Source organism: Homo sapiens, chromosome 16, assembly GCF_000001405.40.
Source record: "Homo sapiens chromosome 16, GRCh38.p14 Primary Assembly".
Lineage (NCBI taxonomy): Eukaryota > Metazoa > Chordata > Mammalia > Primates > Hominidae > Homo > Homo sapiens.
The window spans coordinates 28,842,411-28,869,942 of record NC_000016.10 but is presented as its reverse complement, the minus strand read 5'-3'; the positions used below and the strand labels follow the sequence as shown (position 1 = coordinate 28,869,942).

The following is a 27,532-nucleotide window of genomic DNA, read 5'->3' as shown; positions in this document are numbered from 1 at the left end:
CTGTGTGCTAGGCACTGTGCAGCTGGAACTCAGAACAGAGGGTCAGGAGAAAAGGCTATAGTGGAGGCCGAATCTAGAAATATGAGTTGGGACTGGGTGACACATCTTTGTGTGTTTGTGTGTGTGGGTCGGGTATGTGTGTTTGGTCAGACCAAAAAGTACAGAGTCAAGAGAAAACGTGATTGCCCCTGACAGACACAGAGATGCAGAGTAAGAACAAAACAAAGATTTCTACAAAGTGTTCCAGAAGCTTGGAGAAAACCACCATTATTTCCAGCCAGAGCGGTGGCTGGCAGGACGCTGACTGAAAAAGTGGCGAGGCTGGGTGCAGAAGCCTGGCTAAGGTTTGCTTGGGGCCTGCGTGGGGTCATGATTATTCTAAACAGCAAACTGTGGCTGTGTTCAGGGATCAAAGACCAACATTTGGTGGGGTTGGGGTAGGGCATCTGGAAAACAGGGATGGGGGCACAGTGGCGTCTGGAGAGGGCATGGCGCCTGACAGCAGGGGCCCCGCATGGCAGGTTCCGAGGCTCCGAGCTCTCTAAGGCTCCACCCTTACCCTGCGACAGGCGGTCATTGCTCTCGCTGGGTCCAAGCAGCAGGTCCTGGCTGGGTAGACTCTCCGAGTGATTCAGGCAGGACAGCTCCAGGCTGTCTGTGTTCTCCCTTGTAAGGAATGAGGTCCCAGGGGCCAGAGGGAGGGTCATGGGGCGGGGACTGGTAGCAGGGCAGGGTCTGCAGAGACAGGGAAGATGGTGCTGGGAGGAAAGTCACCAGGTGAGAGGCGCAAGGCTGCTCCCCAACCCCACTCTATGTCCCTTAGCGACAGAAGTCAGGCTTCTCACCCTGGGCTCAGGCATTCTTGGATGTCAGACACCCAGGCCTTCACATGCTGGGCATCCACTGTCTCCATGATATACTCGGATGGACCTTCCACCTACAGAGATGAGACGACGCCTCAGCTGGGGCAGGGGCAGGGAGGAGGCTTAATCCATGCCTAATGAGAACAATGTATGCAGGCTGTCTACAAACAAGATGCATTCGAATTCTCTCTGGAGGCCGGGTACAGAGGCTCACACCTGTAATCCCAGCACCTCTGGAGGATCACTTGAGCCCAGGAGTTGGACCAGTCTGGGCAACATAGTGAGAACCTGTCTCTAAAAAAATTGAAAAATAAAATAAGGCGAGGCCGGGTACGATGGCTCACACCTGTAATCCCAGCACTTTGAGAGGCCAAGGAGGGTGGATCACAAGGTCAAGAGTTCGAGACCAACATGACCAATGTGGTGAAACCCTGTCTCTACTAAAAACAAAAATTAGCCAGGCGTGGTGGCAGGCGCCTGTAGTCCCAGCTACTCGAGAGGCTGAGACAGGAGAATCGCTTGAACCCGGGAGGCGGAGGTTGCAGTGAGCCAAGATCATGCCACTTCAACTCCAGCCTGGGAGACAGAGTAAAATGCCGTCTCAAAAATATAAAAAATAAAAATAAAATAAAATAAAATAGGCCAGGCGCAGTGGCTCACGCCTATAATCCCAGCACTTTGGGAGGCTGAGGCGGGCAAATCACGAGGTCAGGAGATCGAGACCATCCTAGCTAACTTGGTGAAACCCCGTCTCTACTAAAAATACAAAAAAATTATCCGGGCGTGGTGGCGGACGCCAGTAGTCCCAGCTACTCGGGAGGCTGAGGCAGGAAAATGGCATGAACCCGGGAGGTGGAGCTTGCAGTGAGTCGAGATCGCGCCACTGCACTCCAGCCTGGGCGACAGAGCGAGACTCTGTCTCAAAAAAAATAAATAAATAATAAAATAAAATAAGGCCAGGCACAGTGGCTCACGCCTGTGATCCCAACACTTTGGGAGGCCAAGTGGGGTGGATCACTTGAGGCCAGTTTGAGACCAGCCTGCCGAACATGGCAAAACCCATTTCTGCTAAACATACAAAAAATTAGCTGGGCATAGTGGTGCATGCCTGTAATCCCAACTACTCAGGAGGCTGAGGCACAAGAATCGCTTGAACCTGGGAGGCAGAGGTTGCAGTGAGCCAAGATCGCGCCGCTGCACTCCAGCCTGTGCGGCAGAGCAAGGCTCTATCTCAAATGTAAGTAAGTAACAAAATTAGCCAGGCATGGTGTCACATGCCTGTAGTCCCAGCTCCTTAGAGGGCTGAGGCAGGACGATCACTTGAGCCCAGGAGTTCGAGGCTACACGAGGCTACAGTGAGCTATGATCAGGTTGCTGCACTCCTGACTTAGAGGGAGACCCTGTCTCTCTAAAACAACCACAACAACAAAAACTCCACAGTTCTCTTTCAAGTGGAGGCATTGTTTTTGAGAGTAAGAACATTTCCCTGTCTTCCGCTATCCCAGAAAAGCTGCAGCCCCAGGGACACACTCTCAAGGCACTGGACACATATATATACCTCCTTTCGGCGACGCCACTTGCTTAAATGCGCTGAGGGCTTTCTCCTTAACACAAGCACTGCCGGCGGCTGGGAAGTTGAATTCCTACCTTAACCACAAACGTGTTCTCCCGGTCAGGCATCTCCAGGGCTGTGGTTGTCCGGACGTCTGTGATAGAAGAGCAGGGGATGCTGAGTCGGGGCCGAGAGGCCTAAGTCAGGAGAAAGAAACAGATCTGGGTGTTTGGTTTCCAAAGACCACTCTTCCCCTCCCTCCAGACATTCATCTTTCCTTCTACATCCTCGGGAAGTTAGACAAAAGGCAGTCACACTGCTTTCTCAGTCCTGCCCGCAGCTGCTAACACAGAGCCAAGAGCCAGCTTTACCAACAAAAAGTGAGCGACACCAGGGCCATGGGCTGGTAAACCCCAGAGCTTATCTGCAGGGCTGTGACCACTCTGAGCACTCTCTCACTTGCTCTCAGTCACCCACCCTCCAAGGGGCCTCACCTTGGGTGGTACAAAGAACTCCAGGCGACTTCCTCCTCCTCCTTCTCCTTCACTTCGAAGCAGCAGGCGACACTTCTGCCACTGAGGCTGCCCTCCTCCCCCTGAAGGAGGCCCAGCCACCCCTCCTCCCCGGCCCACTCCGGCTGGGTCAGGGGCTGCCTCCTCAGCCCCCATGAAACTCAGCAGCTCTTCCCTCTGCACCATCCCTGCTCCATCCTTCAAGGCGCCCCCTCCCCGACTGAGTCTCAGCCTCTCAAAACGGTGAGTCCATCTTTCCCCAGGGGACGTTCCATCACTGACCAGTCCCCTACCAACGGTCCCAGCCCCGCCAGAGGAGTTGGAGTTGCTGTTTCCACCTAAGACTGGGGGGCCTGACGAGGTCTCCAGGGGCCCAGCGGAGGAGGGAGGGTCAACGGTCCCCCGCCACTGCAGGATGCCACGGACTGAGCCTCGGACAGAGCGACCCACTGAACGCAGGGAAAAGCGCTTCTTGAGCTTCGGCTTGGAGGAGGTTGTAGAGGAGGAAGAGACTGAGGAAGGGAGGGGGCCGGCCAGGTCCTCAGATGATCGAGAAGGGCCCAGCACAGCCAGGGGCCCACCCACCCTGCAGCTCTCAAGGGACAGGTCATGTGGCGAAATCTCCGCACCAGGGCTCAGGGGAGCCAGGATGGGTGGCGACAGGGAGCCAGAGGCCCGGGCCACCTCGGCTTCAAAGTGCTGCAGGAAGAGCTCAGCAAAACGGCGGGAGAAGGCAGCCTCGGCCCCGGGCCCCGCATATTGGGGGTGGGAGGCCAGGTAGAGGCGAAAACGGCGGGCAAAGTCCAGAGCCGCAGCCCGGGCGTGGGACTCACAGAACTCCCGCCAACTAGGGGGCGGGGGTGGGGGCAGCGGGGGAGACGAGGGGGAGGCCCCGTCCTCTGGGGAAGGGGCACCATTCATGATGGGCCCCAGGAGGTGGAGAGGGGGAGCCTGTGGGGCACAAAGAGGGAGGCAGCCAGAAGACGAGGGGTGGGCGGCAGCAGCTGCGAAAGGAAGAGAGAGGCACACACGAGGGTCACTGCTGAGGGCGCACCGGAGGCTGCATCCCACCCCCAGCCAGAGACGTCCGACCCTACTTCAGACTCCGCAGAGAGCAATGGGGAAGGGAGCCCAACACCTCCCTTCCCTCTCCCAGATCCTGGCACCCTGCAGGCCCCAGCCAACTGGCTCCCCAGCGTCTAACCTGCCCCGAGCCTGCCACATTTGCCCCCACTTTCCTTAGCTTTGGATCCAGCAGTAGAGGGCTTTGGAGCACCTTCCCCCTAAAAAAGGGAACTTTTCCAGATCACCCCCCCTCTACATCGGATCCTCCAATATTCATGTCACACTTCCCATGAGCCATTCTAGAGGCTCCCACTTGGTTATCTTACCTTTCCCTGAGAGGTTTCAAAGACCTCTCGAACAGATGAGGAAACCGAAGCTCAGAAAAGTTTCAGAACTCCAAGTCTACTGTTTTCCCCACTTCATAGTCCCTGTCCCCAGGGCCCGGCTGGGCCAGCCTCAGCCATAGCACCTCACCGCCCCAGCTCGCAGGGGGCTAGAGAGGAGCTGGGATTCTAGACCTTAGAGAGCCTGCCTCACGCATCTTAGGGTCCAACTCTTTGGAGGGGGCCGATTCATTAATGAGGATGGATGCATGATGGACCAAAACAGTAATTGTCTTGAAAGCTGACCCCAGAGTCCAGCACCCACGCACTGCGTGAAGGAGATGTGAAATAGCTACAGCCCACTTCTTTGGTATCCCTTCAGTCTGGGGCCAGAGGCCGCAGGGGCCCCAGAGGAGAAACTGGGTTGGCTCAGGTCAAGTCTTTGCTGGCCTCACGTAAACAAAACATCACAGGGAGAGCTGGGGCCCTAGGATTTTTCACCTTCCTCTTCTCCCACTGGGGAGTATGCCCTAAAGGCAGGTTAGCCTTCTGGTTAAGGCCATGGACTTGAGTCAGACCAGGGCTCAAACCACCTTATGAGCACCCAGTCCAGCCACCTTATGAGCGATGTTATCTTGAACAAATTCCACGTCCTCTCTGAGCCTCCGTTTTTCTATCTGTTAAACAAAGCTAATGATCCCTCCCCTCGAAATGTTGAGAGAATTACATGGAATGGGGTATGTCAGCGCTGAACGCAAAGTAAGCATCCGCTGAACGACTGCCATTGTTACTATCTTCATGTGGGAGAAGAATATTATTGTTCCAATTTTCTAAAATAGAAATTAGAGAAAGGAGGAGCCCTCTCAAGGTCTTACAACTAGAAAGTGGCAGAGCTGGGTGTGGAATTTACAACCCTTGGCTCTTGTTAGCGCTCCTCCCGCCACGCAATACTGGAAGGTGACAGCCCCAGGACTGGGGCCAGAGCAGCTCAGGAAAGCCTCCCCAAACCCTCAGCGACCTCAGACTCCTGTTCAAACCTACAGCCAGGCTGTAAGTCGGTGAACCCTCCCCTTCCTCCTGGGCCTCGACCCTACAAGCTCAGATGGCTCCAACCGCAGGGACAACTCCAAACCAACGAGAAACAATCAGGAGATGCAGGAGTCATGGAGCACGGGGGAACCCAGCCAAGAAGTGCAAACCAATCTCCAGCCAGCGGCCACCTCGGCTCACACAGGCCCACCCAATCCTCCGCACCGCAGACAGACCCAGCCCCCTTCAGGCCCGCTGACCCTGCGACTCCTAAGCTGGTGACTCAGTTTCTCTTCTGCCAAGCAGGACTCAGACACATTTTCCCGGTGCACCTGCCTCCTGGCTCAGTTCTGATATTTCCCGAAGGGCGGGAGGTGGAGGGTGCAGGCTCCGCTCTCGGCTCGGACCCTCCGGGCCCGGTGGTCCATATACTCCGATCCGACCCTACTCCCTGGACACCCCCCAGCCGCCCATTTTCCGGGGCCGCATCCACCTCGGGACCAGCCCTGTCTGCTGCACTCTCCGGGGCCGAGTGCCTCTCCAGCCCCCGGCCCTCCACGCCCACCCCCACCCAGGAATCCTCTCGGGCGCCAGGGCCGGGTCGCGGAGAGGGAAAAGGTACTTGAAGAGGGGGGTTCCGGTTCCGGTCCCACCTGCATCTCGGTCCCCGAGGTTAGCTCCGGCGGCGGCGGCGGCGGCGGCGGCTCCCGCTCCCTGCGCCCCCACCCACTACGCGACGAGCGCCCAGCCCGGTTCCGCGCAGGCGTCAGGACCCCCTTTCCCGTCGCTGAAGGAAGAGACCATAGAGAACAGCGGCGGGAGGGAAGGGCACCTTCATACTTACTTCCGCCATCCTCCCACTCGGCGCCGACCCCAGGAGACCGAAGACGGTGTGAATCTCGTAGGGCTTCAGTGCCTTCTCCAGTTGCACCTAAAAGCGACCACAGACGCAGCGGGGGAAGTGCTTGGATCCCACCAGAGCGTCCTCCCGGAGGAAATTCGGGACAAAGGGGCGATGTCGACCATAGAGAACCGGCCTTAGGGGATAGAGTCCCAGGGCCCGGCTGAGGGCTAGAGTAGCCGCCGAGCACCGGAAACCAGCGAGATGATGAGGCTGTGTGAACGGCCCGCTGCAGCCTAGAGCGCCGGCCCCGCTGTGGAGGGGCACGCGGACAACGCCACCAAGGAGCTGAGCGAGGAAAGAAGCGGGTGACCTTGGGGAGGCCCTGCGGGGAGGCGGAGCCTGAACTTACGACCTTGGTTTATCTGAGGAAAGGGGCAGGCGGTCCAGGAGTTTGCATCTCTGAGGCTGGAGATGAAGATGGTGGTAGTGGTGGGGGAGGGGGTGGGTAGAAATAATGAGGTCAGGGCCGGGCGCAGTGGCTCATGCCTGTAATCCCAGCACTTCGGAAGGCCGAGGCAGGTGGATCACCTGAGGTCAGGAGTTCGAGACCAGCCTGGCCAACATGGTGAAACCCCGTCTCTACTAAAAATACAAAAATTAGCCGGGCATGGTGGCGCGCGCCTGTAGTCCCAGTCCCTCCGGAGGCAGAGGCAAGAGAATAGCTTGAATCCGGAAGGCAGAGATTGCGGTGAGCCGAGATGGCGCCACGGCACTCCAGCCCAGGCAACAGAACTAGAATCCCTATTTTAAAAATAGAAAAAAAAAAAATGAGGTCAGGGCCGGGAGCGCTGGCTCACGCCTGTAATCCCAGCCCTTTGGGAGGCCGAGGCGGGCGGATGGCTTGAGGTCAGGAGTTTGAGACCAGCCTGACCAACATGGTGAAACCCCGTCTGTACTAAAAATACAAAAAATTTAGCCGGGCGTGGTGGCAGGCGCCTGTAATCCCAGCCCCTTGGGAGACCGAGGCAGGAGAACAGCTTGAACCCGGGAGGCAGAGGTTGCGGTGAGCCGAGATGGCGCCACGGCACTCCAGCGCGGGCAACAGAGCTAGACTCCCTATCAAAAAAAAAAAAAAAAAAAAAGAATTGAGGTCAAGGCCGGACGCAGTGGCTCACGCCTGTAATCCCAGCACTTTGGGAGGCCGAGGCGGGCGGATCACTTGAGGTCAGGAGTTTGAGACCAGCCTGACCAACATGGTGAAACCCCATCTGCAATAAAAATACAAAAATTTTAGCCGGGCTTGGTGGCAGGCGCCTGTACTCCCAGCTACTTGAGAGGAGGCTGAGGCAGAAGAATCACTTGAACCCCAGAGTCGGAAGTTGCAGTGAGCCAAGACTGCGCCACTGCAATCCAGCCTGGGCAAAAGAGCGAGACTCCATCTCAAAAATAATAACAATAATAATAATGAGGTCAATTCCAGACGTGCTTTTGGGACGTCTGTGGGCATATAGTCTGGAGCTAAGAAGAGACATCAAGGCCAGTTAGAGAAATCGAGAACAATTAAAGTACGGAGGGTAGTTGAAAGCATGAGCACAGTGAGATCCTCCACCCATCCAGTGTCTGATTGACCCGGCTCCAGCTGGCCTAAACAGTAAAGGAAGCTATGGCCCAAGTAATCGAAAAGTCCAGAGCGGACAGATTCAGACAGGTGAACACAGGGGCCAGAAGATATCAGGAACCTGTGGCTCACCATCTCTGGTTCTGCCTTCCCTATGCATTTGGCTTCACCCTCAGGCAGGCTCTCCTCTCTTAGTGGCAAAATAGCTTCTTGTAGCTCCAAGCTTAAACCCTAATAGCTTAGCAACTCTCCTAGAAGGAGCATGCCTCTTTTCTGAGATTCCCAATGAAATTTCCAGAACTGAGTAGCTGATTGGATCAAGTGCCCATCCTGGAACTCGAAGACAAATAAATAACCCAAGAGGGGAAGACGGATAAATCCTGACTCACCTAAGAATGTTCAAGGCCGGGCACAGTGGCTCACGCCTGTAATCCCAGCACTTTGGGAGGCCGAGACAGGCGGATCATGAGGTCAGGAGATCAAGACCATCCTGGCTAACACGGTGAAACCCCATCTCTGCTAAAAATACAAAAAAAATTAGCCAGGCGTGGTGGCGGGTGCCTGTAGTCCCAGCTACTGGGGAGGCTGAGGCAGGAGAATGGCGTGAACCTGGGAGGCAGAGCTTGCAGTGAGCCGAGATCGCACCACTGCACTCCAGCCTGGGCGACAGAGCGAGACTCCGTCTCAAAAAAAAAAATGTTCTAAGATGGCCGGGCGCAGTGGCTCACGCCTGTAATCCCAACACTGGGAGGCTGAGGCGGGCGCATCATGAGTTCAGGAGTTCAAGACCATCCTGGCCAACATAGTGAAACCCCACCTCTACTAAAAATACAAAAATTAGCTGGACATGGTGGCACATACCTGTAATCTCAGCTACTCAGGAGGCTGAGGCAGGAGAATCACTTGAATCTGGGAGGCGGAGGCTGTGGTGAGCCAAAATCGTCCCACGGCACTCCAGCCTGGGCAACAGAGCGAGACTCCATCTCAAAAAACAAAAAAGTGCTGGGCATGGTGGCTCAGTCCTGTAATCAATCCCACTGTTATCAATCCCAGCACTTTGGGAGGCTATGGTGGGCAGATCACTTGAGGTCAGGAGTTTGAGACCAGCCTAGCCAACATGGCGAAACCTCATCTCTACCAAAAATATAAAAAATTAGCCACGTGTGGTGGCGCGTGCCTGTAATCCCAGCTGCTTGGGAGGCTGAGGCACGAGAATCGCTTGAACCTGGGAGGTGGAGGTTGCAGTGAGCCAAGATCATGCCACTGCACTCCAGACTGGGCAACAGAGCGAGACTCCATCTCAAGAAATTAAAAAAAAAACAAATCTGGAGTCCTAACTGTTGGAACAGAAATCACATACCAGAGACCAGGGAGTGTGGGAGTGAGTATAAGATGTGTGTGTGTCGGGGGGAAATGGGCAAACACAAACACAAATGATATAAAGGGATCCGTGGGGGATCACAGGGTGTGCTGCCATGGTCTCTAGAAGGCATTGATAACTAAGAGACTGCTGCGTGACTTGGTGAGAGTAGTTTCAGCAGAGGCCAAATGGTAGTGGTTTGAGGAATGAGTGGAAGGTAAAGAAGTGGGAGGAGGCTGGGCACGGTGGCTCCCGCCTGTAATTCCAGCACTTTGGGAGGCCAAGGCAGGCGGATCACCTGAGGTCAGGAGTTTGAGACCCGCCTGGCCAACATGGCAAAACCCTGTCTCTACTAAAATTAGCCAGGCGTGGTGGCACGCACCTGTAATCCCAGCTACTTGGGAGGCTGAGGCAGGAGAATCGCTTGAACCTGGGAGGTGGAGGTCGCAGTGAGCCAAGATCGTGCCACTGCATTCCAGCCTGGGTGACAGAGCAAGACTCCATCGTAAAAAAAAAAAAAAAAAAAATTCAAGAAGTGGGAGGAAAAATGTGGAGAGATGTTCTACACAGTTTGGCTGAAAAGGGGAGGACAGAGATAAGGCAGGTTGTAAGTGTGAGAAGGTAGAAAGGTTTGCTTGTTTGTTTCTATCTTGAGGAAGATCTGATTTTGTTGGAAACATTAAGGGGAAAGGAATCAGTAGAGAGGATGGTCGCTGAAGGAGCAAGGTTGCGGAGAAGGTTGGTGGGGACGTTATCCAGGGCCCAGGTTAAGCCAAGGCATTAATATGAAGGGGAGAAACCCTTCTTCCTCATAAGCAGGGATGTAAAACTCGGGATGCTTTCCGCTATAACTACTAGAAACCCTAATTCCAGCTAACTTAAACATGAAAACAGCCGGGGGGGGGGGGTCTATTGGTTTAAATAATTGAAAAATCAGAGATAGGATGACTTCAGGCATGGCTGGAGCCAGAGGCTCAAACAATGTTGATTTGAACTTGGTCTCAGTCTCTTTTAGTTCTGCTTTTCCCTGGACTTTCTTTCTTTTTCTCTCTCTCTTTTTTTTTTTCCTGATACAGGGTCTTGCTCTGTCACCTGGGCTGGAGTGCAGTGGTACAATCATAGCTTACTGCAGCTTCGAACTCCTGGGCTGAGGCAGTCCTCTCACCTCAGCCTCCCCAGTAGCTGAGACCACAGGCATGACCCACGCCTGGCTCCCTGGACTGTCTTCATTCTCAGGGAGGTTGTCATCTCGTAAGTAGCAAAATAGCCAAGCCTCATTCTACCAGCTTAAACAACCCTGGCAGAAAAAGAGTATAGCTTTCCCAATAGCTACAGCAAATAAAACAGGGGTGTCTGATGAGCTCAGCTTTCATCGCCCAGTGATCTTTTGTCATTTAATAAGGAATTTATCTGTTGGGTACTGGGCTTAATACCTGAGTGATGACATGTATAACAAACCCCCATGACAGGTGTCTATCTATGTGATAAACCTTCACATGTATCCCCAAACCTAAAATAAAACTTAAATAAATAGGCTGGGCATGGTGGCTCACACCTGTAATCCCAACACATTAGGAGGCTGAGGCAGGCGAATCACCCGAGGCTGGGAGTTCAAGACCAGCCTGGGCAACATGGTGAAACCCCATCTCTACAACAAATACAAAAAAATTAGCCAGGTTGGGTGGTCCATGCCTGTAATCCCAGCTACTCGGGAGGCTAAGGCATGAGAACGGCTTGAACCAGGGAGGCAGAGGTTGCAGTGAGCCAAGATCATGCACAGCAAGATCCTGTCTCTAAAAAAAACCAAATAAATGATTTTTTTTTTTTTTTTTTGAGAAACAGTCTTGCTGTGTCACCCAGGCTGGAGTGCAGTGGTATGATCTCAGCTCACCAGCTGCAAACTCTGCCTCCTGGATTCAAGTGATTCTCATGCCTCAGCCTCCCGAATAGCTGAGATTACAGGCGTGCGCCACCAGGCCTGGCTAATTTTTGTATTTTTAGCAGAGATGGGGATTCACCATGTTAGCAAAGCTGGTCCCGAACTCCCAGCCTCAAGTGATCTGCCCGACTTGGCCTCCCAGAGTGCTGGGATTACAAGTGTGAGCCACTATGCCCAGCCAAATAAATAAAATTTTGAAAAGAATTTGGCTGGTCTTTGTCCCAGGTTCCTGGCATAGAGCTTCCAAAACACTTGGAATTTCCTGAGTCATAGAAATGTCTGTTACTCAGAAGTTCCTTATGTAACACCTGAGTTTTTTTGTTTGAGACAGAGTCTCACTGTCTCCCAGGCTGGAGTGCAGTGGCGCGATCTTGGCTTACTGCAACCTCCACCTCCTCCCGGGTTCACGCCATTCTCCCACCTCAACTTCCCAAGTAGCTGGGATTGCAGGCATGGGCCACCACACCCAGCTAATCTTTGTATTTTTAGTAGAGACAGGGTTTCACCACGTTGGCCAGGCTGCTCTCGAACTCCTGACCTCAGGTGAGCCACCTACCCCTGCCTCCCAAAATGCTGGGATTACAGGCGTGAGCCACTGTGCCCAGCCAACACCTGAGTTTTTGCTAATGAGGTGACTCATGGCAGGCCCTCAGTAGCTTCAGGATAGGGCCTGGTCACCAGAAAGACCAACCTTGTGATTAGAGGGTTGGGATTTTGAGCCAGCCCAACCCCCAGGGAGGGGAGGGGGCCTGAAGGGTAAGACCAATCACATGGCCAGTGATGTACTAATAAGAACTCTGGCCGGGCGCGGTGGCTCACGCCTGTAATCCCAGCACTTTGGGAGGCTGAGGTGGGCGGATCACGAGGTCAGGAGATCGAGACCATCCTGGCTAACACAGTGAAACCCCCTCTCTACTAAAAATACCAAAAATTCGCCAGGTGTGGTGGTGGGCGCCTGTAGTCCCAGCTACTCGGGAGTCTGAGGCAGGAGAATGGCGTGAACCCAGGAGGCGGAGCTTGCAGTGAGCCGAGATTGCGCCACTGCACTCCAGCCTGGGCAACAGAGCGAGACTCCGTCTCAAAAAAAAAAAAAAAAGAACTCCGGACACTGAAACTCAGTGGGTGTTCTGGTCAGCAAATGCATTGATGTGCTGGGAGGTGACGTGCCCTGCTTCCACAGGGGAGAGGGCACAGGAGCTTGGTGGCCTGCTGTCCCAGCTCTCCCTGTGTGTCTCTTCATTGGCTGGCCCTGCTTTGTATTCTTTGTAAAGCTGTAATCCCAAGTGTAGTGCTTTCCTGCATTCTATGAGTCATTGTTTTTATTTAAGTAAAATATACATGTATAATTTACATCTTTACTATTTTTAAGTGTACAGTTCAGTGGTAATAAATACATTTATATTATTTTTTGCCCTTTCACCCCCCCGCCCCCACTCCCCATTATGAGCCATTCTTGTGAACTGCTGAACCTGATGGGGGACAGTGTAGCCTCCTCTGGGAAGCCATGCATGGCTGGTCCACCTAGGCCACCTCTCAACTATCTTTTTTTTTTTTTTTGAGACAGAGTCACTCTGTTGCCCAGACTGGAGTGCAGTGATGCAATCTCGGTTCACTGCAACCTCCATCTCCCGGGTTCAAGCAATCCTCCTGCCTTAGCCTCCCAAGTAGCTGGGATTACAGGTGTGCATCACCGCGTCCAGCTAATTTTTGTATTTTTAGTACAGATGAGGTTCCACCACGTTGGCCAGGCTGGTCTCGAACTCCTGACCTCAAGTGATCCTCCCACCTCGGCCTCCCAAAGTGATGGGATTACAGGTGTGAGCCACTGGGGCTGGCCTCAAGTACCTTTTACTTAGTAGCTTTTGTATGACATTCACCAAGTGCTTCCAGTTGTGATGTCTCCCATCACATCAGAGTGACATGGGTATGACGGGAGCCCTGGGTTTGGAAGCACACTCAGGGTTGGCATGCAGGGACTTGGGGAGGCAGGAGGCAGAGCAGAAGTTGGTGCAGTGGTCCACAAGAGGGCTGATGCTGGCCTGGCTATGGCGATGTAATGGGGTTGGTGCCAAGGGGTTTAACCAGAGAGACTTCCCAGGAGGTCCTGCCAAGTTGGCTGGTGGGAAGAGTGAAGAGTGAAGGATGCCCTTGAGCTTCCTCTGAGGAAGGATTTATAGAGTGGCACCAAGGACAGTGCGCTGGGACCTAGTCCTTAATGTGCCACTAAGTTCCTGGCTAGCCCAGTACTCATTTCCATTGCACCAGACCCCATCCTCCTCTTAGAAGTTTTAGAGCTACAAGAAATCTTAGAGATCATCATATGATTTAACCTCCACCCCCAATTTGTAGATAATGAAGCTGAGGGCCAAGAAGGTACAGTGACCCATCTTTATTTATAAAAATGAATGTGAATATAAAATTTGCTTTCCATTGAAAACCTCAGGAAACTTACTAAGCCCAATGCAAATGCTCAATTGAAATGATTCAATAAATCCTCCAACAAATACTGATTCACTTAAGTATTAGGCACTTTTTTGTGTGTGTGTGGTTTTTTTTTTTTTTTTTGAGATGGAGTCTTGCACGGTCCCCTGGGCTGGAGTGCAGTGGCGTGATCTGGGCTCACTGCAATGTCCACCTCCGGATTCAAGTGATTCTCCTGCCTCAGCCTCCCTAGTAGCTGGGATTACAGGCACCCACCACCACCCCACAGCTATTTTTTTTTTTTTTGTATTTTTAGTACAGATGGGGTTGGCCAGGCTGGTCTTTAACTCCTGACCTCGTGATTCATCCACCTCGGTGTCCCAAAGTGCTGGGATTACAAGTGTGAGCCACCACGCCTGGCCGGCATTGTTCTTAAGAGTAAAAAAGGCTGGGCGCGGTGGCTCACACCTGTAATCCCAGCACTTTGGGAGGCCGAGGCAGGCGGATCACGAGGTCGGCGGATCACGAGGTCAGGAGATCGAGACCATCCTGGCCAACACAGTGAAACCCCATCTCTACTAAAAATCCAAAAAAAAAAAAAAAAAAAAAATTAGCCGGGCGTGCTGGCGGGCGCCTGTAGTCCCAGCTACTCCGGAGGCGGAGGCAGGAGAATGGCATGAACCCAGGAGACGGAGCTTGCAGTGAGCGGAGATCGCTCCACTGCACTCCAGCCCGGGCGACAGAACAAGACTCTGTCTCAAAAAAAAAATAAATAAATAAATAAATAAGTTCTTAGTGCCACGAGCTGGTGAGATGGGAAGAAAACAAGCAAAATAGTAAGATAATTTTGGGCATTTAGATGCTATGAAGAAAATCAAGGTAGAAACAATCATGGGGGCCGGGCGCGGTGGCTCATGCCTGTACTCCCAGCAATTTGGGAGGCAGAGACGGGCAGATCACTCGAGGCCAGGAGTTTGAGGCCAGCCTGGCCAACATGGTGAAACCCCTCGTCTTTACTAAAAATAAAAAATTAGTCGGGTGTGGTGGCACTTGCCTGTAATCCCAGCTACTTGGGAAGCTGAGGCATGAGTATTGCTTGAACCCAGGAGGTGGAGGTTGCAATGAGCCGAGATCACACCATTGCACTCCAGCCTGGGTGATAGAGTGAGATTCTGTCTCAACAATTAAAAAAAGAAACAATCATGGAATGTTTGCAAAACGAAAGTGGGGGGCCAGTGTGGGAAAGGCATGGTGTCTCACACTTGTAAGGCACCCAGCACCTTCAGAGGCCAAGGTGGGCAGATCACCCGAAGTCAGGAGTTCGAGACCAGCCTGGCCAACATGGTGATACCCTGTCTACTAAAAATACAAAAATTAGCAGGGTGTGGTAGTGGTCATCTGTAATCCTAGCTACTCAGGAGGCTGAGGCAGGAGAATCGCTTGAACCCAGGAGATGGAGGTTGCAGTGAGCCGAGATTGTGCCACTGCACTCCAGCCTGGGCGACAGAACGAGACTCTGTCTCAAAACAAAAACAAAAATGAAGGGCTAGTGCAGCCAGGGGAGTGAGGAAAATGAACTACATGGGTTCAAAGAGCTGGCCAGATTATGCAGGCCTTGTGGGACACACGGAGAATTTTATTATTATTGTCGTTATTATTTTGAGACAGGGTCTCGTTCTGTTACCCAGGCAAAAGTGCAGTGGCTTGAGCACAGCTCAATGCAACCTTGAACTCCCAGGCTGAATTGATCCTCCTGCCTCAGCCTTCCAAGTAGTTGGGACTCCAGGGGTGCACTACCATGCCCAGCTAATTTTTCTATTTCTTGTAGAGACGGGTTCTTGCCATGTTGCCCAGGCTGGTCTCAAACTCTTGGGCTCAAGCAATCCACCCTCCTCGGCCTCCTAAAGTGCTGGGATTACATACAGGCATGAGCCACCATACTTGGCCTTATTATTTTTTTAATAACAGCTTTATTGAGATATAATTCACCTACCATGATTGAGATACAAATCGCCCATTTAAAGTAGGAATTTGGATTTTATTCCAAGTGCAGTGAGGAGTCATTTAGGGAGGGTTCATTTATGGTCAATATTTTATTTATATTATTATTTTTGTTAAGACAGGGTCTTGCTCTGTCACCCATGCTGAAATGCAGTGGTGTGATCACGGCTCATTGCAGCCTCGACCTCCTGGGCTCAAGTGATCAAGTGATCCTCCCACCCCAGCCTCCCACAGAGCTGGAACTACAGGTGCTTGCCACCATGCCCTGCTAATTTTTCAAATTTTTTGTAGAGATGGAGTCTCACTACATTGCCCAGGCTAGTCTTGAAACTCCTGGGCTCAAGCTATCTTCCTACCTTGGCCTCACAAAGTTCTGAGATGATGCACTTTTTTTTTTTTTTTTTTTTTTTTTTTGAGACCTAGTCTCACTCTGTCTCCCAGTCTGGAGTGCAGTGGTGCGATCTTGGCTCACTGCAAGCTCCACCTCCCGGGTTTTACGCCATTCTCCTGTCTCAGCCTCCCGAGTAGCTGGGACTACAGGCGTGCACCACCTACGCCCGGCTAATTTTTTTTGTATTTTAGTAGAGATGGGGTTTCACCGTGTTAGCCAGGATGGTCTCAAACTCCTGACCTTGTGATCCGCCCGCCTTGGCCTCCCAAAGTGCTGGGATTACAGGCATGAGCCACCGCACCCAGCTTCGAGGCACATTTTAAAGACTGATCTGGCTGCTGCACGGAGAATGGATGTGAAAGGTATTGGGGGCTGGGCGTGATGGTTCACACCTGAAATCCCAGCATTTCAGGAAGCTAAAGTGGGAGGATTGCTTGAGCCAGAAATTTGAGACTAGCCTGGGCAACATAGGGAGACCCCGTCTCTACAAAAAAAAAAAAAAGAAAAAGTGGGGTGGGTGGGCGCTGGGCGTAGTGGCTCATGCCTGTAATCTCAGCACTTTGGGAGGCTGAAGTGGGCGGATCATGAGGTCAGGAGTTCGAGACCAGCCTGGCCAGAATGGTGAAACCTCGTCTCCACTAAAACTACAAAAAATTAGCTGGGCATGGTGGCACACGCCTGTAATCCCAGCTACTTGTGAGGCTGAGGCAGAATTGCTTCAACCTGGCAGGCAGAGGTTGCAGGTTGCAGTGCCCAGCCAATATATGTATGTGTGTGTGCATATATATATATATATTTATATATACATTTTTATATATATATATGAGCAAGACTCCGTACCCAAAAAATATATATATATTTATATATACATTTATATATATTTATATAAATGTATACATAAATATATATAAATGTATATATAAATATATATGTATAAATATATATAAATATATATGTACATATATATGTACATATATAAATATATATGTACATATATATGTACATATATAAATATATATGTACATATATATGTACATATAAAATATATATGTACATATATATGTACATATATAAAATATATATGTACATATATATAAAAATATATATATGTACATGTATATATAAAAATATATGTAAATATATATAAAAATATATATGTAAATATATATAAAAATATATATATGTATATATATATAAATATATATGTAAATATATGTAAATATATATGTAAATATATATGTAAATATATATATAAATATATATATACATATATATGTAAATATATATATGTATATATATAAATATATATGTAAATATATATGTATATATATAAATATATATGTAAATATATATATAAATATATATGTGTATATATATAAATATATATGTGTATATATATAAATATATATGTGTATATATATAAATATATATGTGTATATATATAAATATATATGTGTATATATATAAATATGTGTATATATATAAATATATGTGTATATATATAAATATATGTGTATATATATAAATATATGTATGTATATATAAATATATATGTATATATATAAATATATATGTAAATATATATATAAATATATATGTAAATATATAAATATATATGTAAATATATATGTATATATATAAATATATGTAAATATATATAAATATATATATAAATATATATGTAAATATATATGTAAATATATATATGTAAATATATATATGTAAATATATATATGTAAATATATATATGTAAATATATATATGTAAATATATATATGTAAATATATATATGTAAATATATATGTAAATATATATATGTAAATATATAAATAAAAATATATATATTTTTGGATACGGAGTCTTGCTCATAGTTTATTCACTCATAGTTTATTCCCTGCATATTAGAGAAGTGGCCTTTTTCTTTACTCTTTTTTTTAAATTTCTTTTTTCTTTTTTTTGAGACAGAGTCTCACTCTGTCGCCCAGGTTGGAGTGCAGTGGCACAATCTCGGCTCACTGCAACCTCCGCCTCCTGGGTTCAAGCGATTCTTCTGCCTCAGCCTCCTGAGTAGCTGGGACCACAGGTGCGCACCACCATGCCCAACTATTTTTTGTATTTTTAATAGAGACGGAGTTTCACCATGTTGGTCAGACTGGTCTCGAACTCCTGACCTCGTGATCCACCTGCCTCGGCCTCCCAAAGTGCTGGGATTACAGGCGTGAGGCACCATGCCTGGCCAATATATGTATTTTTTTTAAAAAAGGCCAGGCGCGGTGGCTCATGCCTATAATCCCAGCATTTTGGGAGGCTGAGGCGGGTGGATCACAAGGTCAGGAGTTCGAGACCAGCCTGGCCAACATGGTGAAACTCCATCTCTACTAAAAATACAAAAAAATTACCTGGGCGTGGTGGCAGGCGCCTGGAATCCCAGCTACTTGGGAGGGTGAGGCAGGAGGAGAATCGCTTTAACCCGGGAGGCGGAGGTTACAGTAAGCCAAGATTGTGCCATTGCACTCCAGCCTGGGTGACAGAGCAAGACTCCATCTTGGAAAAAAAAAAAAAAAAGAAGAAAGGCGTTGGGAATGAGAACAGAAGCCAGGAGACCCACTGGAGAGCTCCTGAGGTAACCTGGATGAGAGATGATCCCAATTGAACCACAGTGTTGACAGAGGACATAGTAAAACGTGGGGTCACACTGGGGATTCCATTTGGAGAATCAGAACTGGGGAGGAGCGTAGGTGTGGGGAGAGGGGAGGGGAGAACAGTGGTGCCCCACGTTCAGATGTATAAGGAGAGTGAGAGGAAGTGGAGAGTCCTGTTTTGGATAGGTTGGTTTTTTTTTTTTTCTTTTTGAGACAGAGTCTTGCTCTGTCGGCAGGCTGGAGTGCAGTGGCGCAATCTCGGCACACTGCAACCTCCACCTCCCAGGTTCGAGCGAGTCTCCCACCTCAGCCTCCCGAGTAGCTGGGACTACAGGCAAGCGCCACCATGCCCAGCTAATTTTTGTATTTTTTTAGTAGAGACGGGTTTCACCATATTGGCCAGGATGGTCTCAATCTCTTGACCTCGTGACCCACCTGCCTTGGCCTCCCAAAGTGCTGGGATTACAGGCATGAGCCACCACGTCCGGCCCTTTTTAATTTCCTTTTTTTTTTTTTTTTTCAGATGGAGTCTCGCTCACTCTGTCGCCCAGGCTGGAGTGCAGTGGCGCACTCTCGGCTCACTGCAACCTCTGCCTCCTGGGTTCAAGCGATTCTCCTGTTTCAGCCTCCCAAGTAGCTGGGACTACAGGCACGTGCCACCACTCCTGGCTAATTTTTTGTATTTTTAGTAGAGGTGGGGTTTCACCATATTAGCCATGATGGTCTTGATCTCCTGACCTCATGATCCGCCCACCTTAGCGTCCCAAAGTTCTGGGATTACAGGCGTGAGCCACCACACCTGGCCCTTTTTGTTTTAGAGACGTGGTCTGGCACTGTCACACAGGCTGGAGTGCAGTGGTGCTATCATTGCTCACTGCAGCCTCAAACTCCTGGGTTCAAGTGATCTTCCTGTCTCAGCCTCCCCAGTAACTGGGATTATACAAGCATGTGCTGCCATATCTGGCAAATTTTTTTATTTTTATGTTTGTAGAGACAAGGTCTCACTATTTTGCCCAGGCTGGTCTCGAACTCCTGGTCTCAAGCAATAGCAGAAGTGGTTTCAGTGCCCCCGGCAGTAGCTATAACAGACGAGTTGATATCCTGGCATGTAGCATTTGATGGTAGTGACAGTAACAGCAGTTTTCTTATCAGGTCAAATCAGTTCTATGGCTTGGAATTAGTTCTCCAGTTTGCCCCACAATTCTGTAAGCTGCCTAATACCCTTAACAAATCCCTCCTCTGCTTAAGCCAGCCAATGTAAAATCTGTTATCTGTAAGTCAAGACTTCTGACTGAGCCATTCACTAATACAGAGGATGCTACGGTCAACAGCTCTAGAAAAAATTTTCTCTGGGCTCTTTTCCGAACACCGTGTTTCTCAAACTCTAGCCATTCATTCACTACCTTCCAAAAAATTTGCCATATATTCATACCACACATAATAGTTTTTATTTTATTTTTGAGACAGAGTCTCGCTCTGTCACCCAGGCTGGAGTACAATGGCGTGATATCGGCTCACTGCAACCTCCGCCTCCTGGGTTCAAGCGATTCTCCTGCTTCAGCCTCCTGAGTAGCTGAGACTACAGGCGTGCACCATGCCCAGGTAATTTTGTATTTTTAGTAAAGACGGGATTTCACCATGTTGGCCAGGCTGGTCTCGAACTCCTGGCCTCAAGTGATCCGCCTGCCTCGACCTCCCAAAGTGCTGGGATTATAGGTGTGAGCCATTGTGCCCAGTGCATCCATAATATTATCTACCAAACAATATTCTTTTAAGTTGATCTGTTTTTTTAAAAACTTGATTATTATGCCAGTTTTTTTTCAAGCTAATACACATTAAAATAAATATAGCACCACAAAAATATAAACCATTAATTCAAATACCACCCCCAAAAACTCATAACTTGCTAGTGGCCAATAGTGTCTTAGGATAAATTCCTAGGAGTACAGTGACTTAGGTACAGAGTAGAAACAGAAAACCCTTTTAGGCTGGGCACAGTGGCTCATGCCTGTAATCCCAGCATTTTGAGAGGCCAAGGTGGGCAGACGGCTTGGGCCCCGGTATTGGGAGACCAGCCTGGCCAACATGGCGAAACCCCATCTCTACAAAAAATACAAAAATTAGCCAGGTGTGGTGGTGTATGCTTGTAATCCCAGCTATTTGGGAGGCTGAGGTAGATTGAGCTTGGGAGGCTGAAGCTGCAGTGAGCTGTGACTGCCCTACTATGCTCCAGCCTAGGAGACCCAGCAAGGCTCTGTCAAAAAAACAAAAACAAAATCTGTTTATACTACACATGATACCAGCCTTTCCTAAGCAGAACTGATTAACTGGAGGGCCAGGAAGAGAGAAGTCTTAGCAAGTTCCTCACTTTATCTGAGCAGTAAAATGAGAGTTAAATTATAGTACAGTCTGGCTGGGCATGGTGGCTCACACCTATAATCCCAGCATTTTGGGAGGCCAAGGTGGGTGGATCACTTGAGGTCAGGAGTTCAAGACCAGCCTGGCCAATATGGTGAAACCCCGTCTCTATTAAAAATACAAAAATTAGCTGGGCGTGGTGGCAGGCGCCTGTAATCCCAGCTACTCGGGAGGCTGAGGCAGGAGAATCGCTTGAACCTGGGAGATGGAGGTTGCAGTGAGCCGAGATCGTGTCACTGCACTCCAGCTGGGCAACAGAGTGTGACTCTGTCTCAAAAAAAAAAAAAAAAAAAAAAGGACAGTGCGGTGTGCACACTTTTTGGGGTTTAGTGGTGGTGGATTCCTTAATCACCCTGACCGTCAGTTTTCACACCTGCAAAATGGAGGAAATAATAGTTCCTACTACCCAGGGTAGCACTGGGAGCGCTGATTGTGAAACAATAGGAATGCCTGAACATCATAAAGCTCTAGTTCAGAGTTTCCTAAACTCCTCTGAGTTTTCATTTGAAAAAAAATTTTTTTTTTTGGAGACGGAGTCTCGCTGTGTCGCCCAGGGTGGAGTGCAGTGGCACCATCTCAGCTCACTGCAAGCTCCGCCTCCCGGGTGCAAACAATTATCCTGCCTCAGCCTCCTGAGTAGCTGGTACTACAGGTGCACACTGCCACGCCCAGCTAATTTTTTGTATTTTAGTAGAGACAGAGTTTCACCGTGTTGCCCAGGCTGTTCTCGAACTCCTGAACTCAAGCAATCCACCCGCCCGGCCTCCCAAAGTGCTAGGATTACAGGTGTGAGCCACCACGCCTGGCCAAAATATTTTTATAGAGATGGGGTCTTTCTTGGCTGAGCGTGGTAGCTCACGCCTGTAGTCCCAGCACTTTGGGAGGCCACAATGGGCGGATCACTTGAGGTCTGGAGTTCGAGAGCCGTCTGGCCAACGAGGTGAAACCCCATCTGTACTAAAAATACTAAAATTAGCCAGGCGTGGTGGCACATGCCTGTAGTCCCAGCTACTCAGGAGGCTGAGGTGGGAGAATTGCTTCAACCCAGGAGGTGGAGGTTGCAGTGAGCCGAGATCGCCCCATTGCACTCCAGCCTGGGCGACAGAGTGAGACTCTGTCTCCAAAAAAAAAAAAAAAAAAAAAAAAAAGATGGGGTCTTTCTCTGTCACTCACGGTGGGGTGCAGTGTCATGATCATACCTCACCACAGCCTTGAACTCCTGAGCTCAGGCGATCCTCCTGCCTCGGCCTCCTGAGTAGGAGGGGCTATAGCTGCATGCTACTGTGCCTGGCTAATTTTAAATTTTTTTTTGTAGAGATAGGGTCTCCTAATCTGCCCAGGCTGGTCTTGAACTCCTGGCTTCAAACCGTCCTCCCACCTCAGCCTCCCAAACTGCTGGGACTATAGGCTGGCACTATAGCCACCGTGCCCAGCCTCTTCTCAGTTTTAGAAGAGTGTTTGTTATATAGCTTCCCAGTCTGTGCATAGACCCCACGGAATCATAACCTCCAGGGGAGGAATTAGGGAATCTATTTGAAACAAACACTGTCCACTGAGTCTCAGGATCTGATGAGTTCCGAAACATTAGCCAGGGTTAAGCAGCCATAATTAACACTTTGGAGTGCCCTGTGGAAGCTGCCATGAGATGATGGATGTGAAAGTTAAGGGACATTGACTACCCTTGCACCCATTCATTCAACATTCACTGCATGCTCCACCCTGTTAGGTGCTGGGGACACCGACAGATTAAAGGAGACTCAGGCTCCCCTTAAAGGCTCCCCTAGCTGGCTCCTCATCCTTGGCTCCTCATCTGCAAAATTAGATGGGTGGGGCGATGCCCAACGGAACTGCTCCTTAGGCTGCTGAGGGACTACAGGGGTGGGCAGCGAAGCTGTCTGTCTTGTGGGCTCTGGCCCTGTGAGGTCTAGCAGTACAGGGTCCCCGCAAGCTGCCTGACCTCACAGGGCCCAACACTGACTCCTACCCAGTTCATCTCCTCTCAGGGCTAGATGTCAGGCTCTCCCTATGAAGTGGATACTACTATTCCCATTTTACAGATTAGAAAACAAAGTCTCAGCGAAGAGGGAGGTCACACTTCACCCCATCCCCGAAAGGCGTCCAGGACCTGGTCCCCTACCTCCAGCTGCGGCAGAGGCGGCCAGATATCTCGCAAGACCCGCGTAGCGAGTCGGACTCCGGGGGACTCGGGGTCTCTCTCTGCCGGGCCCAGGAGGAGGTTCCTGAGCAGTCGGAGCCGCAGCTGCCTCCCGGAGCCCGAGCCCCTCCCTCCGGGTCCGGCCTAGCCCGCCTGACTCCCACTCTGATCACCTCCACAGCCCGCCGACCTGAGAACTACTACGCCCATGAGCCTTCGCGGCGCCGGTGATTTAGGGGACGCTCCTCAGTGCCCCCTGCGACCGCCAGAGAGAACTACGTTGCCCCTCAGCCCGAGAGGCGCGAGTGGTGGAAAACCTCTCCATCATACTCCGCCCTCGAGACACCAGCCCCCTCCATGACGTCTTCAGCCGCGCGCCCGACGTCGGCTGAGACGGCCATAGACACTGGCGGCTAGAGGGGCCCGGACTTGCCCTCCCAGCTCTAACTTCCGCCGGAAGTGCCTTCCAGCCGCAGGCGCCCTTCTTCTTCTGTGCGCTCGGGCTCCTGGTCCCGGCTCCCCGGTTACCGGGGCGCGAGTATGACCACAATGGCGGCCGCCACCCTGCTGCGCGCGACGCCCCACTTCAGCGGTGAGTGGTCAGGGAGGGCGATGGCGGCCCAGGAACACTTTGGGGGAGTGGTAGGTGGCTGGGTTCGGTCTGACCCCTTCCCTGCCTGACTCCAAGCTTCGGTCCCGGCAGGTCTCGCCGCCGGCCGGACCTTCCTGCTGCAGGGTCTGTTGCGGCTGCTGAAAGCCCCGGCATTGCCTCTCTTGTGCCGCGGCCTGGCCGTGGAGGCCAAGAAGACTTACGTGCGCGACAAGCCACATGTGAATGTGGGTACCATCGGCCATGTGGACCACGGGAAGACCACGCTGACTGCAGCCATCACGAAGAGTGAGTGGGGTTGGGGCGTCCAGCAGCGCCCTATCTACTGATGGGACCTGGAGCCAGGGAGGCAAGGCCAGCAGAGTGTCTGCTGGAGGAGTTTACTGTGGCCCCAAGAGCCCGAATTTGTGCGACAGGTGGATTGGGAGATGCAAGAGACAAATTTCTCCTGAACAGGAAGAACTTTGTGATCCACCAATGGCTTGGGGATCACAAAGTCGTGGGGAATGCTCTGCAAGCAGAGGCTGTACCCTAAAGAAGTCACAGGGCAGACCCTTAAGGCCCTCTAACATTTCTTTCTGACCCACAGTTCTCTCTGCTGGAAGAGTTAGAGATTGGAGGAGGTTATGTATTTAGGTGGGAGGGTTCAGGGGCGTGGTCTAAGCTCTGCCTCTAGCACTGGAACTTTAGCTGAGAGGTGTGTTCTTTTCCTCCTTTAGTTCTAGCTGAGGGAGGTGGGGCTAAGTTCAAGAAGTACGAGGAGATTGACAATGCCCCGGAGGAGCGAGCTCGGGGTATCACCATCAATGCGGCTCATGTGGAGTATAGCACTGCCGCCCGCCACTACGCCCACACAGACTGCCCGGGTCATGCAGATTATGTTAAGGTGAGGGTTGCTGGGACACTGGAGACAGGGCCAGAAGCTGCCTCTTGTCAGGATAAATGTTAGGCTTGTGGGGAGGAGATTAAGATATTCAGTGTTTGGGTATGAGATGGCAGGTTTGTGGTCTTGGCCACGCAGAATGGGTGGTGAGGAGATGGTAGAGAAAGGTGGGCCTGAGTTTCTAACTGCTACACTTGGCTATATGGATGTGAACTGAAGAGCTCGTTGAACTTGGCTGTTTCCTTTCCTTCTCCTCTCCAGAATATGATCACAGGCACTGCACCCCTCGACGGCTGCATCCTGGTGGTAGCAGCCAATGACGGCCCCATGCCCCAGACCCGAGAGCACTTATTACTGGCCAGACAGGTACTCAGAGCCTGGGTAAGGATGCAAAAGGGAAGAGTGGGGAGTTGGGCCCCTCTGTATATTGTCCCTGTCTCTCTGGCATCTACAGATTGGGGTGGAGCATGTGGTGGTGTATGTGAACAAGGCTGACGCTGTCCAGGACTCTGAGATGGTGGAACTGGTGGAACTGGAGATCCGGGAGCTGCTCACCGAGTTTGGCTATAAAGGGGAGGAGACCCCAGTCATCGTAGGCTCTGCTCTCTGTGCCCTTGAGGTGAACGCGGGGTCAGGCAGGGCAGCTGCTGCAGAGGGTGGGGCTGGATGGGCACCCAGAGCTCTGCTTTGTGTCTGGGAAGTGGCTCTTGATAATCGAGGGAAGTAGAATGGGGATTTCAGAGTCCTGGCACTTCCCCTCAACAGGGTCGGGACCCTGAGTTAGGCCTGAAGTCTGTGCAGAAGCTACTGGATGCTGTGGACACTTACATCCCAGTGCCCGCCCGGGACCTGGAGAAGCCTTTCCTGCTGCCTGTGGAGGCGGTGTACTCCGTCCCTGGTGAGGACTCTGTCTGTTCCCACGCACTCTCTCTAGCAGAAGCCTAGCTCGGGGTCCCTGATATCCTGTCTTATTCCCTCCCAGGCCGTGGCACCGTGGTGACAGGTACACTAGAGCGTGGCATTTTAAAGAAGGGAGACGAGTGTGAGCTCCTAGGACATAGCAAGAACATCCGCACTGTGGTGACAGGTTTGGGAAGCCAGTCTGGAGAGCAGGGCCTGGCTGAAGGGTGGCCTTACCCCGGCAGATCCCTTGTGCCTTCCCTCTGTCTCACATTCGCCTTCCTTCTCCCTGCTCCTTTTCCCTTTCCGTCCTAGGCATTGAGATGTTCCACAAGAGCCTGGAGAGGGCCGAGGCCGGAGATAACCTCGGGGCCCTGGTCCGAGGCTTGAAGCGGGAGGACTTGCGGCGGGGCCTGGTCATGGTCAAGCCAGGTTCCATCAAGCCCCACCAGAAGGTGGAGGCCCAGGTGAGGGCTCCAGGTGACGGTGGGCAGGGTTGAGCCAAGCTCTCCCCAGCCTCCAGCCAAGCCCAGCTCACCGTCATTGCTTGCTCTCCTCCAGGTTTACATCCTCAGCAAGGAGGAAGGTGGCCGCCACAAGCCCTTTGTGTCCCACTTCATGCCTGTCATGTTCTCCCTGACTTGGGACATGGCCTGTCGGATTATCCTGCCCCCAGAGAAGGTACGGTGGGTGGGAGGAATGTAGGGTGGAGGGGGGACTTTTTATATTACCTTTGCTTCACTCATAGTTCCAAAGATACACTGTGACAACCCGAGTGGCTTTATTTCCTTAGGTGGAAAGGGGCTGCTTGCCGCTGCTAGCCAACAGAAGGGGCATGGCCCATGGACTTAGGGGCGGGAGTCCTCATCCAGTGTGCCCTAAGCTGAAGCAGGTTAAAAGTTTAGCTCTGCCAGCATGTACCCACAGAAAGATTTCCTAGAAAAGGTCTCTTCTTTTTGAGCGTTTCATTATATATGAAGGCTTAAGAAGTTCTGTGACCAAGAAACCTGCATAACCCACAACTTCCTAGACATTTTTTTCTCAAGAACATACCTTAGGAACACTCATCACTGGTCTCTTTTATGTTTTCCTGTCTCAATATGCTGTTTGCATCTGCCTGACAGCCTGGGATGGATGAAGCTGTCCCCAGGCAGAACCATTCCCCTGCTGCATTCTCCCATGACTCTTAACCTCCGAGGTAGCCAAAAAAGACTTAAGGAATGAAGGCACCCTGGAGGCCACGCATGATCCTTCTCTTCCTACTCTAGGAGCTTGCCATGCCCGGGGAGGACCTGAAGTTCAACCTAATCTTGCGGCAGCCAATGATCTTAGAGAAAGGCCAGCGTTTCACCCTGCGAGATGGCAACCGGACTATTGGCACCGGTCTAGTCACCAACACGCTGGCCATGACTGAGGAGGAGAAGAATATCAAATGGGGTTGAGTGTGCAGATCTCTGCTCAGCTTCCCTTGCGTTTAAGGCCTGCCCTAGCCAGGGCTCCCTCCTGCTTCCAGTACCCTCTCATGGCATAGGCTGCAACCCAGCAGAGGGCAGCTAGATGGACATTTCCCCTGCTCGGAAGGGTTGGCCTGCCTGGCTGGGGAGGTCAGTAAACTTTGAATAGTAAGCCAGCCTGTGTCCTGTGTCCTTTGTGCAAATTGGAGAGGATAGGGGAGGACAAAAAGGGTGTTGAACCCCAGACAGATGGGGAGCTTGTGAGATCCCAGAGCAGTTTTAACGGATAAATCAAGTCCAGTGAGCTTAGTGATTGCCTAGACACAGTAGGATGCCGTTATTCAGCCTCCTGGGAGATAGTGGGAAAGAATGTTCTATCGCTCTGGAGCCAGCATGGCTTCAGCTCAGGTGCCAAACCCATCTTGTTTCCTCGGAATACTAAGTGAATGTCTAGCATCCATTCACATTCTGTGGGAACAGGGACTGGACAGGCATACCTCAGATGCTGTAGGTTTGCTTCCAGACTACCACAATAAAGCAGGTCACAAATTT

General features: G+C 50.9%; 2 protein-coding genes and 1 non-coding gene across 12 annotated transcripts in view, besides 8 other annotated features; 2 read left to right on the top strand and 1 right to left on the bottom strand.

Annotated features, from left to right (window-relative positions):
• Nucleotides 1-23,337, bottom strand: part of SH2B1 (SH2B adaptor protein 1) — a 27,600-nt gene extending 4,263 nt beyond the window's left edge. For 3 of the 9 annotated variants that reach the window (NM_001145797.2, NM_001145796.2, NM_001145795.2), the window contains exons 1-5: nucleotides 5,998-6,100; nucleotides 2,910-3,931; nucleotides 2,511-2,612; nucleotides 846-937; nucleotides 560-735 (exon numbers count right to left, since the gene is read on the bottom strand). In NM_001145797.2, coding sequence (NP_001139269.1) covers nucleotides 560-735; nucleotides 846-937; nucleotides 2,511-2,612; nucleotides 2,910-3,848 — 1,309 coding nt within the window. In that variant the 5' untranslated portion in view covers nucleotides 3,849-3,931; nucleotides 5,998-6,100. Of the gene's footprint in view, nucleotides 1-559; nucleotides 736-845; nucleotides 938-2,510; nucleotides 2,613-2,909; nucleotides 6,101-6,188; nucleotides 6,276-8,195; nucleotides 8,326-23,115 lie in introns of those variants that run through there. The other 6 variants (NM_015503.3, NM_001387430.1, NM_001308293.2 and 3 more) reach the window with 5 other exon arrangements.
• Nucleotides 5,886-6,045: a silencer, noted in NCBI's record as "silent region_7314". NCBI's record gives its function as "represses an Ori minimal core promoter by ATAC-STARR-seq in GM12878 lymphoblastoid cells {active_cell/tissue: GM12878}" and the evidence as "EXISTENCE:reporter gene assay evidence [ECO:0000049][PMID:35858748]".
• Nucleotides 6,156-6,515: an enhancer, noted in NCBI's record as "active region_10647". NCBI's record gives its function as "activates an Ori minimal core promoter by ATAC-STARR-seq in GM12878 lymphoblastoid cells {active_cell/tissue: GM12878}" and the evidence as "EXISTENCE:reporter gene assay evidence [ECO:0000049][PMID:35858748]".
• Nucleotides 6,156-6,675: a biological region, named in NCBI's record as "Sharpr-MPRA regulatory region 4004".
• Nucleotides 6,158-6,663: an enhancer, noted in NCBI's record as "H3K27ac-H3K4me1 hESC enhancer chr16:28874601-28875106 (GRCh37/hg19 assembly coordinates)". NCBI's record gives its function as "activates a minimal SCP1, AML or CMV promoter by ChIP-STARR-seq in primed H9 embryonic stem cells {active_cell/tissue: H9 hESC(primed)}" and the evidence as "EXISTENCE:reporter gene assay evidence [ECO:0000049][PMID:30033119]".
• Nucleotides 6,381-6,675: an enhancer, noted in NCBI's record as "tiled region #4004; HepG2 Activating DNase unmatched - State 1:Tss, and K562 Activating DNase matched - State 1:Tss". NCBI's record gives its function as "activates a minimal TATA promoter and a strong SV40 promoter by Sharpr-MPRA in HepG2 cells, with weaker activation in K562 cells {active_cell/tissue: HepG2 | K562}" and the evidence as "EXISTENCE:reporter gene assay evidence [ECO:0000049][PMID:27701403]".
• Nucleotides 6,956-7,025: an enhancer, noted in NCBI's record as "active region_10646". NCBI's record gives its function as "activates an Ori minimal core promoter by ATAC-STARR-seq in GM12878 lymphoblastoid cells {active_cell/tissue: GM12878}" and the evidence as "EXISTENCE:reporter gene assay evidence [ECO:0000049][PMID:35858748]".
• Nucleotides 19,648-19,848: a silencer, noted in NCBI's record as "peak2552 fragment used in MPRA reporter construct". NCBI's record gives its function as "represses an SCP1 promoter by STARR-seq MPRAs in K562 erythroleukemia cells {active_cell/tissue: K562}" and the evidence as "EXISTENCE:reporter gene assay evidence [ECO:0000049][PMID:32103011]".
• Nucleotides 23,244-23,733: an enhancer, noted in NCBI's record as "active region_10645". NCBI's record gives its function as "activates an Ori minimal core promoter by ATAC-STARR-seq in GM12878 lymphoblastoid cells {active_cell/tissue: GM12878}" and the evidence as "EXISTENCE:reporter gene assay evidence [ECO:0000049][PMID:35858748]".
• Nucleotides 23,595-27,532, top strand: TUFM (Tu translation elongation factor, mitochondrial). Of its 2 annotated transcripts, none has more exons than NM_001365360.2 (10): nucleotides 23,595-23,725; nucleotides 23,837-24,031; nucleotides 24,463-24,629; nucleotides 24,888-24,992; nucleotides 25,081-25,245; nucleotides 25,392-25,524; nucleotides 25,609-25,629; nucleotides 25,842-25,993; nucleotides 26,088-26,207; nucleotides 26,795-27,532. In NM_001365360.2, the coding sequence occupies exons 1-10, from the start codon at nucleotides 23,674-23,676 to the stop codon at nucleotides 26,966-26,968; spliced, it is 1,284 nt and encodes a 427-aa protein (NP_001352289.1). In that variant the 5' UTR covers nucleotides 23,595-23,673; the 3' UTR covers nucleotides 26,969-27,532. The 2 variants fall into 2 exon arrangements, with proteins under 2 accessions (NP_001352289.1, NP_003312.3); NM_003321.5 differs by having other exon boundaries at nucleotides 25,609-25,713.
• MIR4721 (microRNA 4721) lies at nucleotides 25,936-26,024 on the top strand. Its single transcript, NR_039872.1, has one exon. It is a non-coding gene; the product is annotated as a microRNA 4721 (primary transcript).